Source organism: Homo sapiens, chromosome 11 (genome assembly GCF_000001405.40).
Source record: "Homo sapiens chromosome 11, GRCh38.p14 Primary Assembly".
Taxonomy (NCBI): Eukaryota; Metazoa; Chordata; class Mammalia; order Primates; family Hominidae; genus Homo; species Homo sapiens.
Genome location: NC_000011.10, coordinates 108,729,314 through 108,751,693, shown reverse-complemented (window position 1 = coordinate 108,751,693; position 22,380 = coordinate 108,729,314). Strand labels below are relative to the sequence as shown.

The 22,380-nt window shown below is 37.4% G+C and overlaps 1 protein-coding gene and 1 long non-coding RNA gene across 2 annotated transcripts in view, besides 1 other annotated feature; one reads left to right on the top strand and one right to left on the bottom strand.

Moving 5' to 3' along the window:
- DDX10 (DEAD-box helicase 10) overlaps nt 1-22,380 on the bottom strand; it is a 275,859-nt gene that overhangs the window by 189,234 nt on the left and 64,245 nt on the right. The window lies entirely within an intron of this gene.
- The window catches only part of LOC124902750 (uncharacterized), an 80,188-nt gene that overhangs the window by 28,001 nt on the left and 29,807 nt on the right, over nt 1-22,380 (top strand). The gene's annotated exons all lie outside the window — the stretch shown is intronic.
- Nucleotides 17,803-17,922: an enhancer, noted in NCBI's record as "active region_5492". NCBI's record gives its function as "activates an Ori minimal core promoter by ATAC-STARR-seq in GM12878 lymphoblastoid cells {active_cell/tissue: GM12878}" and the evidence as "EXISTENCE:reporter gene assay evidence [ECO:0000049][PMID:35858748]".

The following is a 22,380-nucleotide window of genomic DNA, read 5'->3' as shown; positions in this document are numbered from 1 at the left end:
GTAAATCAACTTCCCTTTTGTACACACGTTTCCCCTAACTCACTCTCTTTCACTCTCAGCCTCTTCCTCTTGTCATAGGCCCCCTTCGGCAGTCTGATAATGTCTACAGGCCTCTTCTCAGAGTAATGTTGTAAATGCATAAAATATACATTGGATTATACATTGGATTAGATGGTATCACATTTATGGACCCCTCCCACTTGACTTTCATAATATATTAACTGCAGATTAAGAGCTTTTGTTATGGAAGGAACTGAATTAGATGGACTCTTCTAATTAGTCTTTGATTCCAAACTCATGGAAAGTTTCATTTGATTATAACAAAATCTTGTAAATAAAGTAAAAATTATTTGCTTTATAACTTATTGTGATTCTTTAGATACCTATACCTACACTATCCCCAAACCCTGAATTTTTTATGTTAAAGTACATGGCCTGTGATAGGTTTACTTACATATTTACTTATAAATTTTGAGACATTTATACCAGACAGTGAATATGTTAAACTCTTCTGAGCATCTATCTGATCAAAATACAATGCTAGAGATACTAGGAATAAAAAGCAACAAAATAAAAAGTACTCTATTTTATGGAAATTTAAAACATAATTAGGGGCCAGGAGTTGAGGCTTATGCTCTAATCCCAGCATTTTGGGAGGCCAAGGCAGGAGGGTCGCTTGAAGCCAGCAGTTGGAGACTAGCATGGGCAACATAGTGAAAGCCCATCTCTAAAAAAAAAAAAAAAAAAAAAAAAAAAAAAAAAAAAAAGTAACCAGGTGTGGTGATGCACATGTATTTAGTTCTAGCTACTCAGGAGGCTGAAGTGGAAGGACCACTTGAGCCCAGGAGTTTGAGGCTTCAGTGAGCTATAACTGTGCCACTGTACTCTAGCCTAGGTAACAGTGAGACCCTGTCTCAAAAAAAAAGAAAAAAGTTAAATATACAATATAGATATAAAATATATATGAAATTCATATATATAAGAAAAGTCTATCTAATTCAATTCGTACCATAACAAAACCTCTTAATCTGCAGTTAATATATTAAAGTCAGGTGGGAGAAGTCTATAAATGTGGTACCAACTAATCCAATGTATATATTACACATTAGAAACATTACTCTAAGAAGGGCCCCATAGACATTATCAGACTGCTGAAGGGGGTCTGTGACAAGAGGAAGAGGGTGAGAGTGAAAGAGAGTTGGGGGAACTTCTGTACAAAAGGGAAATTGATTTACAGCATAATTGTGTGAGTAGTTCAATAACCTAATAACTAGTTAGAAGATAACTTAAGATTCATATTTCCCATTATCTTCCTATTATGACATTTGGCAAGTGAATCTTCAGTTTAAGTCAACTATATAACTGTCTTTCAGTTTAAATCACACCTGCCTATTTAGTACTAAATAAGCTGGTAGTGGGTACTATAGCATCACTAACTGCTAAACATACTAAAATAAAAAACCTTTGAGGTTAGCTTTCCTGATTGTTTCCCAAAGAAGAAAACAATGACACTCTCCAACAACCAGTTTCTCAAATGAAATCTTTTATAACAGAATCTTAAAATGGCTTCTCATTTCCATTAACTGTAACATTCATTTTTTTCCTTGCAGCACCAGCTCAAAGGACAACCACAACATTCAAAGCAACAGCTGTACTTTATACAGATTTTGCAATTTAATTTTAGCTTTGATCATACTTGATTCTAATCATTTTCTTCCTTAGAAAAGGAAATTACAAGCCCAAGACAAAAATCATTTTTACAGAGTACTTATAGTATTGCTCATCATACTAGAAGTGCCAAAAAATTACATGTAAAATTTCAGTAAAATACAGCTATAAACACTTGTTTTACCTAAGTTTCTTAAAAGCTTTGCAACAAGACGATAAATGGCCATTTTAATAATGTTTGCAAATAATTCTACTTAAATCAAAATAAACAGCTAGTTAAAATTCTGCACGCTTTAAATGATCATTAAATACTTAATTTTGATATGACTTCTTTCACGACAAATTACTCAACTTCATTGACAAATTTTACACATTAAATGTGATTCATCCAACTTCTGTCTTACAGATGCTATATTTATTGACATTTACAGAAAAACTCACAGCAATGACACCTCTAAGAAGCGTCAGTAGAGAAAGCCAAGCAATTAAGGGAAGTGTTTAATAGGAAAGTTATATGATTTCTTTAAGTGTAACAAAAAACGATCAGCTCCTTGACCTTTAAGTATCAAAAGAACTTTAAATTTAGACCTGATAAAACATACCATCTTGTCAGTAAGCTAATAACCTTGAATAGTGAAATAAATGTTAGTACTACCCTACTCCTTGAAAAACATTTCCATCAATAACAGTATAAACATCTATTTGGGAGAATTATAGTACCCTGAACCAAATCCCTGTTTCACACATGGAGCGTAATGATGAATTTTTATTTCTATCACCACTCTAGCCTTCAAAAATAGAGATGCCTTCAAAAATCTAGACATACGGCCAGGCACGATGATTCACGCCTGTAATCCCAGCAGCTTGGGAGGCCGAGGCGGGCAGATCAGGAGGTCAGGAGATTGAGATCATCAAGAAACTATATATAATATATATATAGAGAGAGAGAGAGAGAAAGAGAGAGAGAGAGAGAGACATGGTTGTCTAGATATTTATGGTTGTCAGTAATTCATATCCAACCCACTCTGTATTCTACTGCCCCAGTATTTAAAAATGAGTTTAGGCCAGGCGTGGTGGCTCATGCCTGTAATCTTGGCACTTTGGAGGCCAAGGCAGGAGGATTAAAAAAAAGAAAAGTTTTAAAATTTAAAAATAGTAAATTAAAACATTTAAAAACATTAGGCAGGCATGATAGTGTGTACCTATAGTCCCAGCTGCCTGGGAGGTTGAGGCAGGAGGATCACTTGAGCTCAGGAGTTCATGGCTGCAGTGAGCTATGATCATGCCACTGTACTCTAGCCCAAGTGACAGCACAAGACTCCACTTCTTAAAAAAAAAATTAAATAAATGAGTACAAGAGCTGATCAAAAACAGGTAATTAGCAAGAACACTATCTTCAGACCTTAATTTCCCAATATTTGGGGTCTCCCTAGATGTCTTACTGATTTCTATTTTAATTCGGTTGTAATCAGTACATTCTGTCTTCAACCCTTATTTCATGACCCAGTATATGGTGCATTATGAATATACCACGTGAACTAACGAATGAATATTCTGCAATTGTTGGATATGGTGCTCTACAATAACATTTTGGCCAGGATGGTTGACAGTGTTGTCCAGATCTTCAATGTCTCAATGTCTATTGATTTCTTATCTAATTGTTCTATCATTTGCTGACAAAGGAGAGTTAAAGTCCCCTGTAATAATTTGGAGCTAGCCTCCTCTGGCGCTCTCTCTCGTTCAGAAGTCTCCGCTCATTCTCTGACAGACATGATTGCCCTAGCTTCGTATCTCTGTGTTCCCCAGACCAGAAAGACTGCATACTTTCTGTAGGAGCCTTCCACCCTGTGGCTGTGGCCCATCCTTAGGACAGGCTGCTAAAACAGAAAATCCACCCTGTGCCAGTTTTTTCTTGTAAGTTTCAAGTCCCTTCTAAAATCTGCTTAGTTTTGCTCACACTCTAGAGTACTTAGATTTTATACTGTGTCCAAAGTTTATAATTATTTTTTGCACGCACATCAGTCTATTAGCTTATTTTACCATATCAAAAGCCCCTACACAGACAATTTTTTTTTCACTCCTACTGTATATGTATGTGTCTGTCTCTATCTGACATACTGTACCTAGGAAGACAAGGATCTATAAAAAGTTTGATAAACATGGTACTAACAAGAACAACTTCATGAATCGGTAACTTTAGGGTCATAATGTTTCCAGCAAGAGGAAGGTCATTAATAGTAGTGGTTAAATGTTTATTTAAATAAGACTATTCCAGTAACTATGTTGGAGGATGGATTTGAGAAAGAAGATCAGATAGGGCACTAATTTAACAATCCAAAGGATAGACTAGGAAGTAATAGGAGGCATAAAACAATGGGGATTAGGCCAGAGAAATCAGCAGTATACAGGTAAGTAAACAAGTTCCACAGAAATTAAAGGGACTGTCAAGGGAGAAGCCATATTTTGCTCCCACAATCAGTAGTCTGAAAATACTAAGGCATTAACTCTTCTCTCCATGTTTCTTACATTCACTGCTATCACCTCAGCCTACCCTACAGAAATGGAAAATAAGCAATGATCATGTCAAAACTCTTCCATCCCATGCTAAAAGTGGACCTCATTAATCAATCACTGCACTCTGGCCAACTGAGCCAAACTGAATGTCTCATTCTTTTTAATATAGAAGCTCCAGGGTATCACTACCAACTGATCAGTTAAGCATGTTGTAGGACACCTATCTGCTATCCTTAATTTACATATTGACCAAACTAGTCTACCTTAAATTATTGTATATATAACCACACTAAACAAAAAATAATTTTTTAAGTGATCCCTGTTTTTACTGTCAAGCTCAAATTCATATACTGGGCCTCTTAATCTAGCACAATGCACATTCAAATTCAGCTATTCTCTTATATATATATGTTCAGACCCCTTTACATACATGTTCAATTCTACCCAGTCACTTCTTACAATGTGACATACACATTTCTATCTGCAAGCCTTTCTTTGTTTACACTATCCCCTTGCTAAAAAGCCCTTATAACTACAATTCTTGGCTAAGTTCTTTTCTTCAAGATTCAAGTCTTATCCTCATAGCCCCTTGCGTTACCTTCCCCCAAAACATTTCTATAGCAAACCAAGCTAAGAGGTATTGTTATCTTTAAGGCTGATGCTTTCTATACCCAACAACCCACAAACAACATGAGAATAAGGCCCTTATTGATCATCAGGGAAAGGCAAATCAGAACCATAAAGATACTATTTCCTATCTAGTGAGATGGCTGTAATCAAAGAGACAGATAATGAGTGACAGTGAGGATGTGGAAGAATTGGAACACTCATACACTGCTGGTGGGAAATGTAAAATGGTGCTGCCACCTTGGAAAACAGTCTGATAGTTCTTCTAAAATATAGGCATACAGTTCAAGTTTTACCATTTGACCCAGCAACTGCACTTCTAGGTGTATATACCCAAAAGAAATGAATAATTATGTCCACTGAGGAATTTGTACATCAATGTTTGTAGCAGCATTATTCACAATTGCCAAAAAGATGGAAACAATCCAAATGTCCATTAACTGATGAATGGATAAACAAAAGTGATATATCCATACAATGGAATATTATTTAGCCCTAAAAAGAAATGCAATACTGATATATGCAACAACATGACACTTAAAAAAAAAAACATACTAAGTGAAAGAATCCAGTTACAAAAGACACTTACTGTGATTCCATTTGAAGTCATTCCTTAGGAAATGTCCAGAATAAGTAAATCTATATATAGAGAAAATAGACCAGTGCTTACTTATGTCTGAAGGAAATGGAAGAAAACAAGTGAATTTCCTTCACTTGTTTCATTAGCCCTCATTATTTACTTACGTCTAGAATAAGTAAATTATACAGACAGAAAATAGATTAGTGGTTATTTATGTCTGAAAGGAATAGAGGATTATGAGGTAATAGCTTAAAGGGTGTAGAGTTCTTTTTGGAAGTGATAAAAAACATTCTAATACTGATCATGGTAATGGCTGAACAAGTTTGTGAACATACTACAAACTATTAAATTACATACTTTAAATGACTAAATTGTATGATAGAAATTACATCTCAAAAAAGCTATTATCAAAAGGAACAAGACACACTAAAAGAAAAACAATGGAATAACATGATGCACTAATTTTCAACATATCTAACCCTATGTCATATCAGGTCCTCAAGGTCTAGAAGACTTCAATATCTGAATAATCTACTTTCATCTTGCCAATAAAAATTCAAACTATTAAAGCTAGTTAAAATGTTTATATTTAAGACTTCAGAGAATTATAGAAAGGAAGACTCACTTTTAGAAGTCATGCTTTAAGATGGATCTGTATTAACTTTCATTTACTTAAGGTCATCATCAGATTTATATTTAAATGGCACTAAGTAAGTGGTCACAGTAGTAACACTGGATAACATTAAAACGTAAAATAGAAATTTTCCAGCCAGATGTGGTGGCTCATGCCTGTAATCTTAACACTTTGGAAGGCCAAGGCGAATTGCTTCTGCCTAGGAGTTTGAGACCAGCCTGGGCAACATGGTGAAACCCCATCTCTGCCAAAAAATACAAAAATTAGCTGACCATGGTGGCAAGCACCTATAGTCCCAGCTACTTGGGAGGATCACCTGAGACTGAGGAGGTCAAGGCTGCAGTGAGCCATGATCTCGCCACTGCACTCCAGCCTGGGTGACAGAGTAAGACGGAAGGAAAGGAAGGAAAGGAAGGTAAAGAAGGAAGGGAAAGAGAAAGGGAAGGAAAGGAAAGGAAGGAAGGAAACGAAAGGGAAGGAAGGGGAGGGGAGGGGAGGGAGGAAGGGAAGAAAGGGGAGTGAGTGGAAGGAGAAGGGAGAAGGGGAAGAGGAAGGGGAAGGGGAGGGGGAGGGGAGGAAGAAGGAAAGGAAGGGAAGGGGGAAGGGGGAAGGGGGAAGGGGGAAGGGGGAAGGAAAAAGTAATTTTCCTTCACTTGTTTCATTAGCCCTTGCTATTTCCTATAGAGCTCTTCTACCCTTCCAAAATTGATTGGCCACAACACACTCTGTGCTCTTATATCCTCTTTCCCTCTTTCTTCACCTATCACATCTAACACAGCCTTAGACACTTACCAAATCTCCACTACTCCAGAAAGATCTTCCAAGATTCTAGCCCCAAAGTTCAAAGTTCTAGGCCAAATTAAAAATATTTTATTACTGCAGGTAAATAGTTTACATTGTCTTTCTTACACTGCTATCTTGTATCATTTCACTTAACATTTCCACATAAATGTCCTGTGTCACTATGTAAGTTTATTGAAGGCTGACAAGTCTAACTTTTTCATATTTGGGACAGTAATATATCCATAATAAGTGAGTAAAAGAATACTTGGTTAACTATTGAGGGTTAAGAGGGGACATGGCAGAGGGTATTTAAGGTCAACTAACACTCCCAAATACTCAGGCTAACCCACTCTGCATAAAGGCTCAATAGTATTTTTAATTATTTCATCAGTAGACTTTGGGGTCTGTACACTATGGACTTTTCACTGGAAGAATAAATGAGTCCCTGAAGTGGCTGTGGATTGTTGTTTTTTGTTTTTTAACAGAGATCTCAACAGACTATGAATAAAGTTGGGGTTCTAAGTAGTCCAGCAGAATCTTCCAACCTGAGAAACGAGGGACATAAATGGCCTCATTAAATAACCATTTTTAGGCATCTGCTAAGGCTTTACATTTCATACAATGTATGCAACTCAATATATGGATACCATCAAAGAAATGCTTCCTATGACGAGACTACCCTCTCTCTCAACTTACAATGAGGGAGTCCTAGAAAACTATATAAAGCCATTCATACTAACGATATTAATGGGAATATAAGTATAAATGAGTCGTAGGTCTGAATTTGAAAAAGCTTATGAATCATTTTTCTCTGTTATACCACTAAGTACACTGTTGGCAAGAACATATAAACCCAGCACAGATGTGAACACATAGGCCTGCCAAAAAGCCTACTTTCATTTCTGGTTAAAAATAACTATATAATTTTGATTACTAAATTTATTTAAATGTCTCAAAAGGAACATAAGTATTACCTGGCAGTTTTTATATTGCTTCTCCAAGATTCTCAATTATGGGGACAAAGGGTTCAAGCAGCATGTGTGTGTTTAGGAGCACTTGCGCTGGCACTGAAAATGGGACACCTGCTTCCATTTGCCACTCCCTCTACCAAGGTTATTTTCAAGCTGAAGAAGTACACAGCCATAGAAAAAGGTCTTGCAAAGTCTTCTGGCAATGGTAATTAGCACGCACACCCTTTATCTTACCCTACTCAAAACCATATAAACACTTAGGTCCAAAACTTAAGTGCGGAACAGCACTGGGACAGCACTGAGATCTTACTGATCTCTATGGTGAACTCACTCTAAAATAAAATTACTAATAGTTCAATACAATAAGTTAATTTTTCCAACCATATTTAAAAGAAGGTGGAACTTCCACTAGTATGCTGAATACAAGTGGTGAGAGAGGGCATCCTTGTCTTATTCCAGTTTAAGGGGAATGTGTCCAGCTTTTGTCCATTCAGTATGATGTCAGTAGTGGGTTTTTCATAGCTTGCTCTTATTATTTTGACGTTTATTCCTTCAATGCCTAGTTAGAGGGTTTTTAACATGAAGAGATGTTAAATTTTACTGAAAGCCTTTTCTGAATATATTGGGATAATCATGTGGTTTTTGCTTTTAGTTCTGATTATACGATGGATAACATTTATTGATTTGCATATGTTGAACCAACCTTGTATCCCAGGGATAAAGCCTACTTGATTGTGGCAGATCTGCTTTTGGATGTGCCACTGGATTCAGTTTGCTAGTATATTGTTGAGGATTTTTGCATCTATGTTCATCAAGGATATTGACCTGAAGTTTTCTTTTTGTTGTGTCTCAACCAGCTTTTGGTATCAGGATGATACTGGCCTCATGAATTCAGGAGGAGGTCCCTTCTCCTCAATTTTTTGGAATAGTTTCAGTAAGAATGGTAACAACTTTTCTTCATCTACTAGAATTTGGCTGTGAATTCGTCTGGTACTGGGCTTTTTCTGGTTGGTAGACTTTTTATTACTGATTCAGTTTCAGAACTCATTATTGGTCTCTTCAGGGATTCAGTTTCTTCCTGGTTCAATCCCAGGAGGTTGTATGTTTCCAGGAATTTATCCATTTCTTCTAGGTTTTCCAGTTTGTGCGCATAGAGGTGTACATAACAGTCTAAGGGTTTTTTGTATCTCTGTAGGGTCAGTGGTAATGTTCTGTCATTTCTGATTGTGTTTATTTGTATCTTCTCTCCTTTTTATTAGTCTAGCTAGCAGTCTATCAATCTAGTTCTTTCAAAAAAAGCAACCCCTGGATTTATTGATCTTTTGTTTCTTGTTGTTGTTGTTGTTCTTTTTGAAATGGAGTCTCACTCTGTTGCCCAGGCTGGCATGCAATGGCGCGATCTTAGCTCACTGCAACCTCCACCTCCCAGGTTCAAGCGATTCTCCTGCCTCAGCCTCCTGAGTAGCTGAGATGACAGGTGCACGTCACCACACCCAGCTGATTTTTTATTTTTAGTAGAGACAGGGTTTCACCATGTTGGTCAGGCTGGTCTCGAACTCCTCACCTCATGATCTGCCTGCCTTGGCCTCCCAAAGTGCTGGGATTACAGGCATGAGCCACCATGCCCAGGGTTTTTTTTTTGTTTTGTTTTGTTTTTGAGACAGAGTCTCACTTTGTTGCCCAGGCTGGGGTACAGTGGCGCCATCTCTGCTCACTGCAACCTCCACCTCCCAGATTCAAGCAATTCTCCTGCCTCAGTCTCCCGAGTAGCTGAGATTATAGGCACACACCACCACACCCAGCTAATTTTTGTATTTTTAGTAGAAACAGGGTTTCACCACTTTTGGCCAGCCTAGTTTTGAACTCCTGATCTCAGGCGATCCACCCACCTTGGCCTCCCAAAGTGCTGAGATTACAGGCAGGAGACACTGCAACCAGCCTGCATGTTTTTTTGTGTGTCTCAATGTCCTTCAGTTCTGCTCTAATTTTACTTTTTGTCTTCTTCTTCTAGCTTTGGGGTTGGTTTGCTCTTGGTTTTGTTTTTCTAGTTGTGATGACTAGGTTATTAATTTGAGATCTTTCTAGCTCTTTGAAGTCCTGGCCAAAGCAATCAGTCAAGAGAAAGAATAAAAGGCACCCAAATAGGAAGACAGGAAGTCAAACTATCCCTGTTTGCAGATGACATGATTCTACACCTAGGAAATCCCATAGTCTCTGTCCAAAAGCTCCTTGATCTGATAAACTTCAACAAAGTTTCAGGATACAAAAATCAATCTATAAAAACTAGCAGCATTCCTATACACCAGCAATATCCAAGCTGAGGATCAAATCAAGAATGCAATCCCGTCCAAAACAACCACAAAAATAAAATACCTAGGAATACAGCTAACCAGGAAGGTGGAAGATCTCCCCAAAGAGAAATACAGAACACTGGCCAAAGAGATCAGAGAGGACACAAACAAATGGAAAAACATTCTATCCCCACAGATAGGAACAATCAACATTAAAATGGCCATACTGCCCAAAACAATTTACAGATTCAATGCTATTCCTATCTAACAACCAATAATATTCTTAACAGAATTAGAAAAAAAATGACTTTAAAATTCATATGGAACCAAAAAAATAGCCCAAATAGACAAGGCAATCCTAAGCAAAAAGAATGAAGTAGGAGGCATCACATCACCCAACATCAAACTATACTACAAGGCTACAGTAACCAAAACAGCATGGTACTAGTACCAAAACAGATGCATAGGCTCATGGAACAGAATAGAGAGCCCAAAAATAAGGCCACACACCTACAACCATCTGATCTTCGATAAAGTCAACAAAAACAACCAATGGGGGAAGGATTCTCTATTCAATAAATGGTACTGAGATAACTGGCTAGCCATATGCAAAAGATTGAACTGGACCCCCTTTCTCACACCATAAAGAGAAATCAACTCAAGATAGATTAATGACTTAAATGTAAAACCTGAAACTATAAAAACCCTGGCAGATAACCAAAATATTAACAAGCCATGCATCCAACAAATGTCTAATATTCAGAATTTATAAGGAACTTAAATCGACAAGCAAAAATCAACTCCGTTACAAAGTGGGCAAAGGACATGACCAGACACTTTTCAAAAAGACATACATAGCCAAAAAGCATATGAAAAAATGCTCAACATCCCTAATCATTAGAGAAATGCAAATCAAAACCACAATAAGATAGCATCTCACACAGTCAAAATGGAGATTAAAATGTAAAAAAAAATAACAGACACTGGCAAAGTTGTGGTGAAAAGGGAGCACTTATATACTGCTGGTGGGAATGTAAATTAGTTCAGCCACTGTGGAAAGCAGTTTGGTGATTTCTCAAAGAACTCAAATCAGAATTACCATTCAACCCAGCAATCCCATTATTGGGTATATACCCAAAGGAATATAAATATTCTAGCCTAAAGACACATGTATACGTATGTTCACTGTGGCACTATTCACAATAGCAAAGACATGGAATCAACCTAAATGCTCATCAATGGCAGACTGGATAAAGAAAATGTGGTATGTACACACATCGGAATACTATGCAGCCATAAAAAATAATAGTGAAATCATGTCCTTTGTAGCAACATGGATGGAGCTAAAGGCCATTATCCTAAGCAAACTAACAAAGGAACAGAAAACCAAATACCACATGTTCTCACTTATAAGTGCAAGTTAAACATTGAGTACATATGGATCTGAAGGCAACAAGAGACACAGGGGCCTACTTGAGGGTAGAGACAGGAAGGTGAGTGAGGGTCAAAAAACTACCTATCAGGTACTATGCTTATCACCTGGTGATGAAATAATCTGTACACCAAACCCCCATGACATGCAATTTACCTATATAACAAATCTGCACATATACCACTAAACCCAAATTTTTTCAAAAAAAAAAAAAAAAGGTGGGTAGCCAAAACTTCTCACGAAAACAAACAACAACAACAACAAAACCCTAAAATCTAAAATTTAAGATAATATGAGAGGACCATACAAAGAAAACTGGTCCTAGAGATCAAAGCAATCTGATAAGAAAGGGATGACGGGTGGATTAATTTAGGTTTAGGAATGATTTCACACAAGATACTCACTCGGCATCTGACCCAGCTTTTCAAAACTAACACAGGATTCTATCTAAGATCAACCCATTCAGAAAACTAATATTTACTAATCCTTTATATTCCTGATACTTTTTCTACCAGACGGTACACTCTCAAATTGGGGTAAAGAATCTGAATAAGCAAAGATAAAAGAACAACCAGATTTGAATGGAAAAGCTTCTAATGATTTATTCACTCATTACACTCAACAGCCAGCTATTAAGAATGTATTATAATGACAGGCAAACCTGAGAGGTAACCCAAAAATGAATAATATATATTCCTTACCTTCATAAAAGTATACAGTATAGTGGGAAAAACAGGTATGACAGCAGTATGCTGAGTGCTCTAACAGCAGTAAGCACAGATTGCTCAGAAAGCACACTTTGGAATACTTAGCCCCAGAAAAGCTAACTGCCCACTAATTTAGGGTCTTATCAAACAAAACAAAAGCAATGGCTTTCACATGGAGGAATCTGTGTCTCTCTGGAATTCATGTTCATCATTTAAAGTAACTTTTCTCGTTTGGGAGAAGCCGACAAAAACAGAAAAATTCAGAGTTCTACTTTTTGCTACTACCTAACTTTGGGAAGCCATCATCCATGGACATCTCATGTTTCTGTACATCTTGTGTCAGCAACTTGTCCACACGATTTTATGGATGTCTGGATAGCATACAGCCTTAGGAGAGACAGAAAGTGTCTCCCTGGGGGGGCAGAGTTGTTTCCTGACCAGAATAAAGATAACTTCTCCCTCAGGGGCGAAAGTTGTCCAGGTTTGCTAGCAGTCTTAATAACAATAGGGGTCTCCTAAGCTTGAGCTTTTACACCTAGGACACAAACCCACTCTGTGGACAGCACCAACCCAGGCCTGTCTCCATGTGGCCCCTGTGGGACTTGAGGGGCAGGGGAGTCAATGCAAACTTCAAGCTCATACTGCCTGCTGTGCCATGAGTTGTCCAGCAACATAAGAAAGTATGGCAGGCTAATACGTTAACCTGCAAGTAGGGTAGAATCTCAGACTCTTCATAATTCTTGAAACCTAGAAAAAGTCTCTTTCGTCAGTAAATGAATCAGAAAAGCCAAAGAAATCTGAAATTTCTGTCATAAAACAGAGCTAATGGGGCTTGGGGTAGGCAGAGAAAAGAAGGAGTAACTGGGTATGCCATACCTAATCATGTAATTACAAACTCACTGTAAGTCTGGTTAGCTAAGCTGGTGCTAGTTGACACACTGGAAACTAGATAGGTGGGCTCCAGGATATTGATAGCATATTCTTGGATAATAAAATATCTCTTCTTCCCTCCTTTTTAGGAAAGAGAGGGGATTAGAAATAAGTATTTCTAAAAAGATTCAATAACCAATAGTTTATTCAAGCTATTAAATAAAATGGCTCAATAGCTACTAAAACACATATGAGTAAGTAGAGTAAATTCAGCCAACTTAAAAAACTCTTAAGAGGAAACAGTAAAAAGAAAATAAGACTCGCTGAAAGCCAGATTTTCATAGATTCCTTTAAAAAAAAAAAAAGTTCAGTCTCAGAAGATTTGAGTAGGGAGTACAAATACAGCGCTTTAATAGTAATTTACCTACTCTTCAATTTGCAAAATCCTATTTTATGAATATATCTGCAAGCAGAAGACAGTTCAGATAGATCAAAAGATGCAAAGAAAACAAAACAATGCTGATCCAAACCACAGGAGAGAGCATTATTTAGCAAGGTCGTGCTAAGTGTTTTTGGAATATGCAACCATTTCCCATATCAAACATTTTGAAATTAGTGTACCTTCCAAAATTAGGTATCACAGCAAGGAAGAAAACATTCCTCTGCTTTGTTTCTTCCCATGACAAAAATCAGTGCATATGAAAATGCACGCAGGTGGAAGAATTATTCTAATCGTTATCACCCAAAGATATAATAGGAAATAGGCCATTTTAATTTTAAAAACAAACTTGGGTGAGAATTATTAGGTGTAGGCATGCCTTATCATGGTTGTCACTGAGAAATTGATTCACTGAGTCTAGCAATGAAAGAGGTGGAGAGAGAATAGACCAACAGGAAGGAAAACGGCTCCAAGACAGATCATCGCTGAAAATATTAGCTTCATCCTTTATGCACTTTTCCAAAAGCTGCAATAAGTGATATCTATCTCATGCACATTAATGCCAAGAAATTTCTTCTTATATAGTCCAGGGACATTTACAGTGCCCAGTTTACTAAGGCACTTTTTTCTAGAGCCTAGAATTTATGCACCCTAAGAATCACTACCATGTCGGCCTTATTAGAACTGTAACAAAACATCACTGTTTTCAATCATTTGTTATGCCAAATAAAAACCAGCAGATTCTCTGCCCAACAGTATATCAAGACCGTCTGTCACCTCTATTCTAACAGCCAGCAGGCAAGCTAAAAGAATAAAAGAAATAAAAAACAGCAACAGCCTTCTGGAGGGGAAAAAATTTCCAGAGATTGATGATCTGCTACCTGCTTAATAGAGATAAACTTTTTTGTCCTATGGCAAAACACTCCTGGCTTGAAAAATAAGTTTTAAAAATTTGGTTTATTAAAACAAAAATCATAGATGTTTCTGATCATAATGTGTTGAGGAAGAACTACATTTTATTATTTTGATACTAGGGATGAAAGTGTTGTCAATGAATGCCTTGGAAGAGGCTCATTTGAAGAAATGGACTCCATGCTACAAACAAGCATTAAGTGCCTAACATGTGAAAGATGCTGCAGAGAATGCTGAAAAAAAAGCAAGAAGTGCTACCTGATTCAAAGACATTCATCTTACTACACACTTCATTATATAGACAATGTGCCTACAGAAGCCTATATATTAATTCTTCTTCTTAATCTTCCTTCCCTTTAGGGGTATAGGGTGGACAATTCAACTAGAGAACTTGTCTTAGTCTGCTTTGTGCTGCTATAACAAAATACCTGGAACAGTGTAATTTATAAAGAAGAGAAATTTTTCAAAGTTCTGGAGGCTGGGAAGTCCAAGACCAGGGCACCAGCATTTGACATCTGGTATGAGCCTTCTTGCTGCATCCTCACATGGCAGAAGGCAGAGGGCAAGAAGGAAAAACTGTGTCCTCACATGGCAGAAGAGCAAGCTGGAAGAACACTACAAGAAGCCTTTTTATAAGGGTCTTGATCCCATTAAGGAGGAAGGTGCCCTCATGACCTAATCACCTCTTAAGGCCCCAACCTCTTAATACTATTCCACTGACAACATTCAAATTTTGGAGGAGATGCATTCAAACCATAACAGAGCCCAATACCAAAAAGAATCAAGGAACCCTCACATTTCAACTTCGGTGGTATCACTTATAAGGCCAAATCCCGCCCATCCATGATAACCCAAGAGGCATAGAAAGGGTGATAAACTGCAAAACGTATTCAGTGACAAACAGTGTATTTCCATTAAACATTCACTATGTTACGAATACACACACTCACACATGCAAAAACACACCACAACACTGTATAATTTTATGGCCATATAAACAGAAGAAACAAACAGAAGAATACAGAATGAGGTTTTATTATTAAAAGATAAAATAATCCAACCTAGAGGGAGACAAAGGAAGAAGCAAAAAGGTTAAAAAAAAAAAAAAAAAGAACTAGGGAAGCAAAGAGGGGTTCATTTTTCTCATATTTTAACTTTAATATATTTTACAAAGTCATTGGTTTGTGATTGCTTCAAAATTACAACATTAACCCTTCAGCAAAGACGGCTTGAGAAACACTGTCCTAAAGACTTAAGATTTAAATCATCATGAAATCTGTATGCTAATCTTACACTTATTTTATAAGTAAGTTTATACTTATACTTCACTTTCACTAAACAATAGGCATTTCTTAATATGCAGACATCCCTGTTCCCACTTAATTTACTGAAGTGCCACTGCTCTAACCAATCAACCTGCTAGTGCAAGGTTCAAAGAAGGTCTGAATTATCTTCACATTCCCCCTAGAGTGCCTAGCTCTCAGTGTTCAATAAACCAACTGGCAGCTTACACATATGCTCAGAGAACCAGTAAAGCTGGAATACTTTTTTTTTTTAATGTTCTTGAAATAATTTATTTCAACAAAAGCAGTGAAGTAGCCATCATGGAGAAAATAACTTCAGGACTTTCTTACTATTTTCAAGTTTCATACTGTTTTCATTTCAAATTACCTATGGGGGAGGAGGAACAATAATATTTTCAATGCTTAAAACCTCTAAAGTTCATGATCCAGCAACAACAGAAGAGTGCCTTATACACCCTCCATGGTGACCACCTCTGATCATTCTATCTGAAATTGCAGCATGCCACCCACCTTCCCTGAATTCTATATCCCCCTTACACTGCTTCATCTTGCCCCTACCATAGCACACATATTCATTTTTTGTCCATCCCACCCATTAATGCACAGGGAATACTGTTGGTTTTGCTAACAGCTCTCAATGCCTAGCACACAGCAGGTGTTCAAATATTTGCTGAATAAATTTTTCTAAAAACTTCATGAAGTCTTCACTTAATAAGCCGGCATTTCACCTAAAATGTACACTTTCATGGTAAAGAACAAAGCTTCGCATCAAAGCAAAAGTGATTTAATTCTAACTGTCACCAACAGATGGCACTAGCCTCAGATGTTGCCTTGGACTTGAAACCGTGTTTCAAAATATGCATTGAAAAGAACAAAGTCAAAACAAAAATTTGCTTGGACAATTTAAAAGTGTTGAAAAGAAATGTGAAAGTTGAATCCAGTGCCATCACAAAGACAGTCCTCCCATTAACAAGTTCAGGTACAGATACACACACTGCTTAGAGACTTAAAAAGTGGTCTTATGAACAGCATTTCTGGAAACTAATCTGCCATATTAGCAGTGTTGTACAATTATATTTGTTAGAGCCATATAAACAAGCACTTGTTTATGAATTTGAAAACTCCTTATTTCTAATCATATAACAAGTTCAAAGGGCAATTCACATGACCTTCAAGAACAGCCTGTCCTATTTCACATTTCTTTCATTACCTGTGTAACTACCTTAAAATAAAGATAAATACGGCCTGTAAAAGTAGCTGTTTAAACTTCAACCACAAAAGTAGATTTAAAAATTCAGTAGTTAGCAGATGTTATAAATATTGAATATTGTATAAAAGAAGGAGATAAAGGAAAACGACTCAATATTTGATATAATGATTCAGCATGTTACAGAATAAACATCATGCCAAAACCAGCTTTAAGCTTTCCACTGAAAATTTACATCCTCAGGAAGTCATCTGCATACCAAACTCAAATAGGAAAAAAAATACATAAAGCAACTCAATATATGCATCTAAGCTTCATGTTACACAATAACAACTCCTTTTGAATTGGAACAAAGCTTAGATTACAAAAAAAGAATTAAGCACAGGATGCCAAAAAACAGAAAAGACACCTATAAGACAAATGAGCATATATACCAAACTATTTCAGCTGGCAACATCTGAGATCATGCTACCATTGTTTCACTTCATGGTAGCAAAAATTCGGAGTACAGTAGTCTTGACTTTAGAGTTCTTCCTTCTGTTTAAGTCAACTGAACATTACATAAGGCCCCTGAACACAAATCACCAGGTATGGAAGAGATAAAAATTAAGAGACATGTGGCTACATTATGAAATGTCAAGAAAAAGAAAAAAATACTAGCAAAATAGACCATTGGAATCCAGAGGTCAGTGGGTTGAAGAAGTAAGGGATGGCTTCAAAGAAGAGACAAGATAAGCACTGCATCTTGAAAGATGTGAAATGCTGGAGTGGGAAGAAAATAATCCAGGAAGGAATCCTTCACTGTTTAAGTGGAAACTGGGAAGAATGGTCTCGCAGGACAATAGGATAGGGGCTAGCTTACAAAACCCAACTGCAAGGGTGAACTTAAGGGTAGCATGGAAGGTAAACCACTTGAAAAAAAATACTAATTTGACCAAGGTTCACAGGAAGATGACTCAGAAGAACAACGAGAACCAATTATGAAGCTTATCCCCCCGAGCCAAGAATGAGGTAATAAGAATCTGGGGGCAGAATGGCAGTGTAAGTGGGAAGTGAAAATGGAACACTAAAAGCCACCACTAAATGTAGAAATGACGGGAATCAAAGCAAGCACAATCATACCGAGGCAAGTCAGAGGGGCCTAAGTACAGACTCCAGTGCTAGCGCTTCACTAACTATGCAACATTAGGCAAGGAAGTAAGTGAACCTGTCAAAGCCTGTGTCTGAACTTGTAACATGACAACAACACTACACAAGGCTGTGGTAAGAATTTAAATAAGTGAGATATGATAGTCAAAGTGCATGGTAAGTTATAAAAAAATTGATAGATGTTAATCATTTTCCAGTACTTATTTTACAAATACTTAGTCCAAGTTCCTAAAAGTCACTAAGTACCTAACACAGTCCCTGGCATCCGTTAGGTAACTGCTGCTGAAAGGAGGGAAAAAGAGAGAAAGAGAAAAAGTGAAGAGACAAGAGGCAGAAACATCCTAGCTCCCACATAGGAGAATCTTGATTTGGAACTTGGAATCTTTTTATAAGAGTATACTTATAAGCTTCAAAGTTAGCTAATCTGTGTTTTAACACCAACAGTGAGTTCTTACAGTACTAAAAAAAGAAAAAGCTACTAAAAAAAAAAAAAAAAGTAGGACTAAATCAATGTAAACAGGATCTGGAATCAACTCTAAGGTACAATGAATAATCTATGGGTATCATTCAAATCTTAATTAAAACTGACCTATGTTTACTTTTAAGAAAGCTTTAAAAGGACATTTGTTGAGCTAAAATGGAATCTACCCAGTCTCATTTCTAAAAAGGTTTAAACTGAAAAAGAAAAGAAAGCATATGCTTAGAGATTTCATTCTCACATTTAAGGAAATAAGTGTTCCAAAAATAAATTTTAATTTAATCATTTTAATTGTATGTTCATGCTCTTATCTAACACTGTCTCCCTGGAGGTCAACTTTCTGAACACCCAACAAGACAATTAGCCAAAACAAGGTTCTTCCCTATGGTGGGAGGTCAACCAGCCATCTCTTACTGCCTTTGTGCCTGATCACTACACCTGCGCTCTCTCCTGCACATGTCTTATTGCTTCATCACTCGTGGCACTTCTCCACTGCTAAGAAAATCTTGTTGTCCTTCACTGCATCGATCTCGTCAAACAGAAAAGGATTGTGACAAGGCAGCATTCCAGAAGGCCTTGCTTGCACCTGGCACTCAGTACCTCTCGTCTCCATTTACGCCGAAGTCTAAAGGCAAACATTCATTTTATACTCCAAGTGTGCGCACACAATGAGTAGCCCAAAATTATTTACAATACTGTCAATTACACTGACATTACCCAATTACAGAAAGCAAACTACACACAAATAATGGTAGGCACGACAGCAGAGAAAGAAAATGTGACTTAGCATCACAAATAGGTTTAACTGCTAACTTCACCACTGTGACCTTGGACAAGTCACTTAAAAGCCTTCCTTTCCTCCTCCGAAATTTTAATAGCTACCTTTCTTGTCATAAGGAAAAATGAGAACTTATGCAGAAAGTGTTCAGTATATGGTAAAATGCCAAATAATTATGGTCTTAATTATAATGATATGATTATTAGACATATTCCATAAAATCTACAATCCAATGGGTTCCTACTGGCTCCAAGTTTCAATTTGGTTCTTGTACAAATCTTCTTTTTCCAGAGAGACAAGAAAGGGAAAAAAAGATAATCAAGATAAAGAGGATAAGTTATAAGTAACAAAGCCAGTTCCCTTCTGTGTCTGGTATGGTGTCTACAAAGACAATTCTAAAACATGAGCAACAAAAATTTCAACAAAGTCAGCAGTGTCTGGAAAAGTGCTTAGTCTTCCCACAGGGAATATACTCATTTATATGTGCAAATGATAGTATTATTCCCATTTTATGTATGATTTGATTTTTCTATATCTCGTCTATCCTTAAAAATAGGTAATAAAGGAAAAAAGCAGCCTCCAGTGACTGATGGATGCATACAACACTAAAATATGAAATGCAAAAGTAAAGGATAAAATGGAAAGCCAGGATGGGTGCAGTGATTTATACCTATAATCCCAGAACTTTGGGAGGCTGAGGCAGGAGGATGGTTTGAGTCCAGCAATTCAAGATCACTTCAGCCCATAAGGTCGAGGCTGCAGCGAGCCATGATGACACCATTGCACTCCAATCTGGGTGACAGAGAGAGACTCTGTCTCAAAAAAAAAAAAAAGAAACCCAATTGAGATCACGGTTGCAGGGTCACATTCAAAACCAATTGCTTAAAAACATGGAGAAGAATCAAAAGATATTAACACGAGTGAAAATAAGTATTAATTTTTAAAATTCGAAAGTAGGTAACAGGTGAAGTTAAGACTAGGTGAGGTAGTTCAAAAAAGGGCTGGGCATGGTGGCTGACACCTGTAATCCTAGCACTTTGAGAGGCTGAGGCAGGTGGATGACCTGAGGTCAGGAGTTTGAGACCAGCCTGGCCAACATGGTGAAACCCCGTCTCTACTAAAAATACAAAAATTAGCTGGGTGTGGTGGCACGTGCCTGTAATCTCAGCTACTCGGGAGGCTGAGGCAGGATAATCACTTGAGCCTGGGAGGCAGAGGTTTCAGTGAGCCAAGATCGGCCACTGCACTCCAGCCTGGGTGACACAGCGAGACTCCGTCTCAAAAAAAAAAAAAAGAAACGGCAATTAGCCTTTCTATTTCAACTGGAGAACCACGAAATTCAACTCTACTGTTTGTGCACAGTACTAGGGAATGTACAGGAAGAAACAGCAAAACATTCCTTGTTTAGCATCAAAAATCCTATCAACTGCCCCAAAATGTTCCTCATATTCAACAGACATGACATAATACTTTAAATTTATTACAGTAAAAAAAAAAAAACATGCAGGTACGTGTGTACTTTAAAGATAGAACTTCTTATAGTATAATGCAAATGTAGTCTTAGTAAACCGAATTTTACAACACTATAATTAGATACTACCACTTACTATCCAAATTAAATTATAAAGCTCGGCCTACATAAGTATATCATTTAGAGTCAAGTAAGTTTTTTATGCTCACATTTATAGGAAGTTCAACAATACCTTTTGAACCACTGTAAGTCATGAGGTGAACTTCACAAAATACAGGTTTTCCAAAAATAAACCCTACCTATGAGTTCTATATAACTCACAGCAAACAAAACCAAAGTGAAGGAATAAGAAATTCAGTTAATTCACTCCCTCATTCACAAAATATTTGTGAAATTTGCACTAGTCATTGTACCAGGCCCTGAAAACACACTGATCAGTAAGACAATATTTTCCTTTTGTTTGATAGCCCTGGATTATGTTTTCCCAGGAAGACAGCTCCCTACCACTGAGATGTGTGTTAGGGGAGCCCGAGTTGTCACTTTTCTACGAGACTTTCAGTCATAAGGGAAAACCTGTCTAGGTCCTAGTGGTTGAGAAATCTCTAAGAGGTGAAGCTGAACCCAGAGCTACACATACAGCTAATCTTTTCGAAATGTTTAGAAGTAAAGCAATCTGAAGGAAATTCAGAACCACAGAATTTACTGACTGAAATACATCCTATTGTTCATACCAAGAATAAGAGTGGAGAGGGACTATTGTTTTCCTGGTAAAATTATAATGGAGGCAGAAGAGCATCAGCCATGGAAGGTAAGCTTTTACTCTGAATTGCCAAAGTGGAACTTCATGCCCACTTGAATTGATCCATTAGAACTAATGGATCCAGAATCCACGATCAGACAAAACTGTGATTGACAAGGGAAAAAAACAAACTTTAGAAGAATGTTTCCAGATGTTCAAAATGATTCATCAGCTTACTAGTAGTTGGGAAGGTATTCTAATGGTCACAAGAGATATCATTAAAGAATTTGCAGACCAAATCTCCTCTCTGGTGTACATTAACGACGTGCATTGTGTTGTTTGTTTTAGAGACAGGGTCTCTCTCTGTTGCTCAGGCTGGAGTGTCGTGGCTTGCTGTAGCCCTGGACTTCTGGGCTCAAGTGGTCCTCCCACCTCAGAGGGATTACAGGTGTGGGCCACTATGCCTGGCCTGATGTATAGTATTAACAAGTGAGTTATTAAGTACAAAGTAGAAAATCCAGTCAGGCATCATATGTTTAATGGAGGAAAAAAAAAAAGGCCTGCAACAATTTCTTTTGTTCTTCCTTGTTTTGTTTTTTTCACTCTGAGAAAAGGATATTTGCTCAGTCGAGCTGCACTGTCACAAGCAGAGGCTGCTCCCTGCATCAAAGGCACTTGTGAGACGATGCCACTGAGTGGATGCAGAATCATATTTTATGGTAGTTACTGAAATGTGGGTTATTCAATCACTCCTCAGGGACTGATAGTTTATCAGGCCAGGAGCAAGCTGTGATGTGCTAAAACCTCTCTGGATGGAGATGAGCAG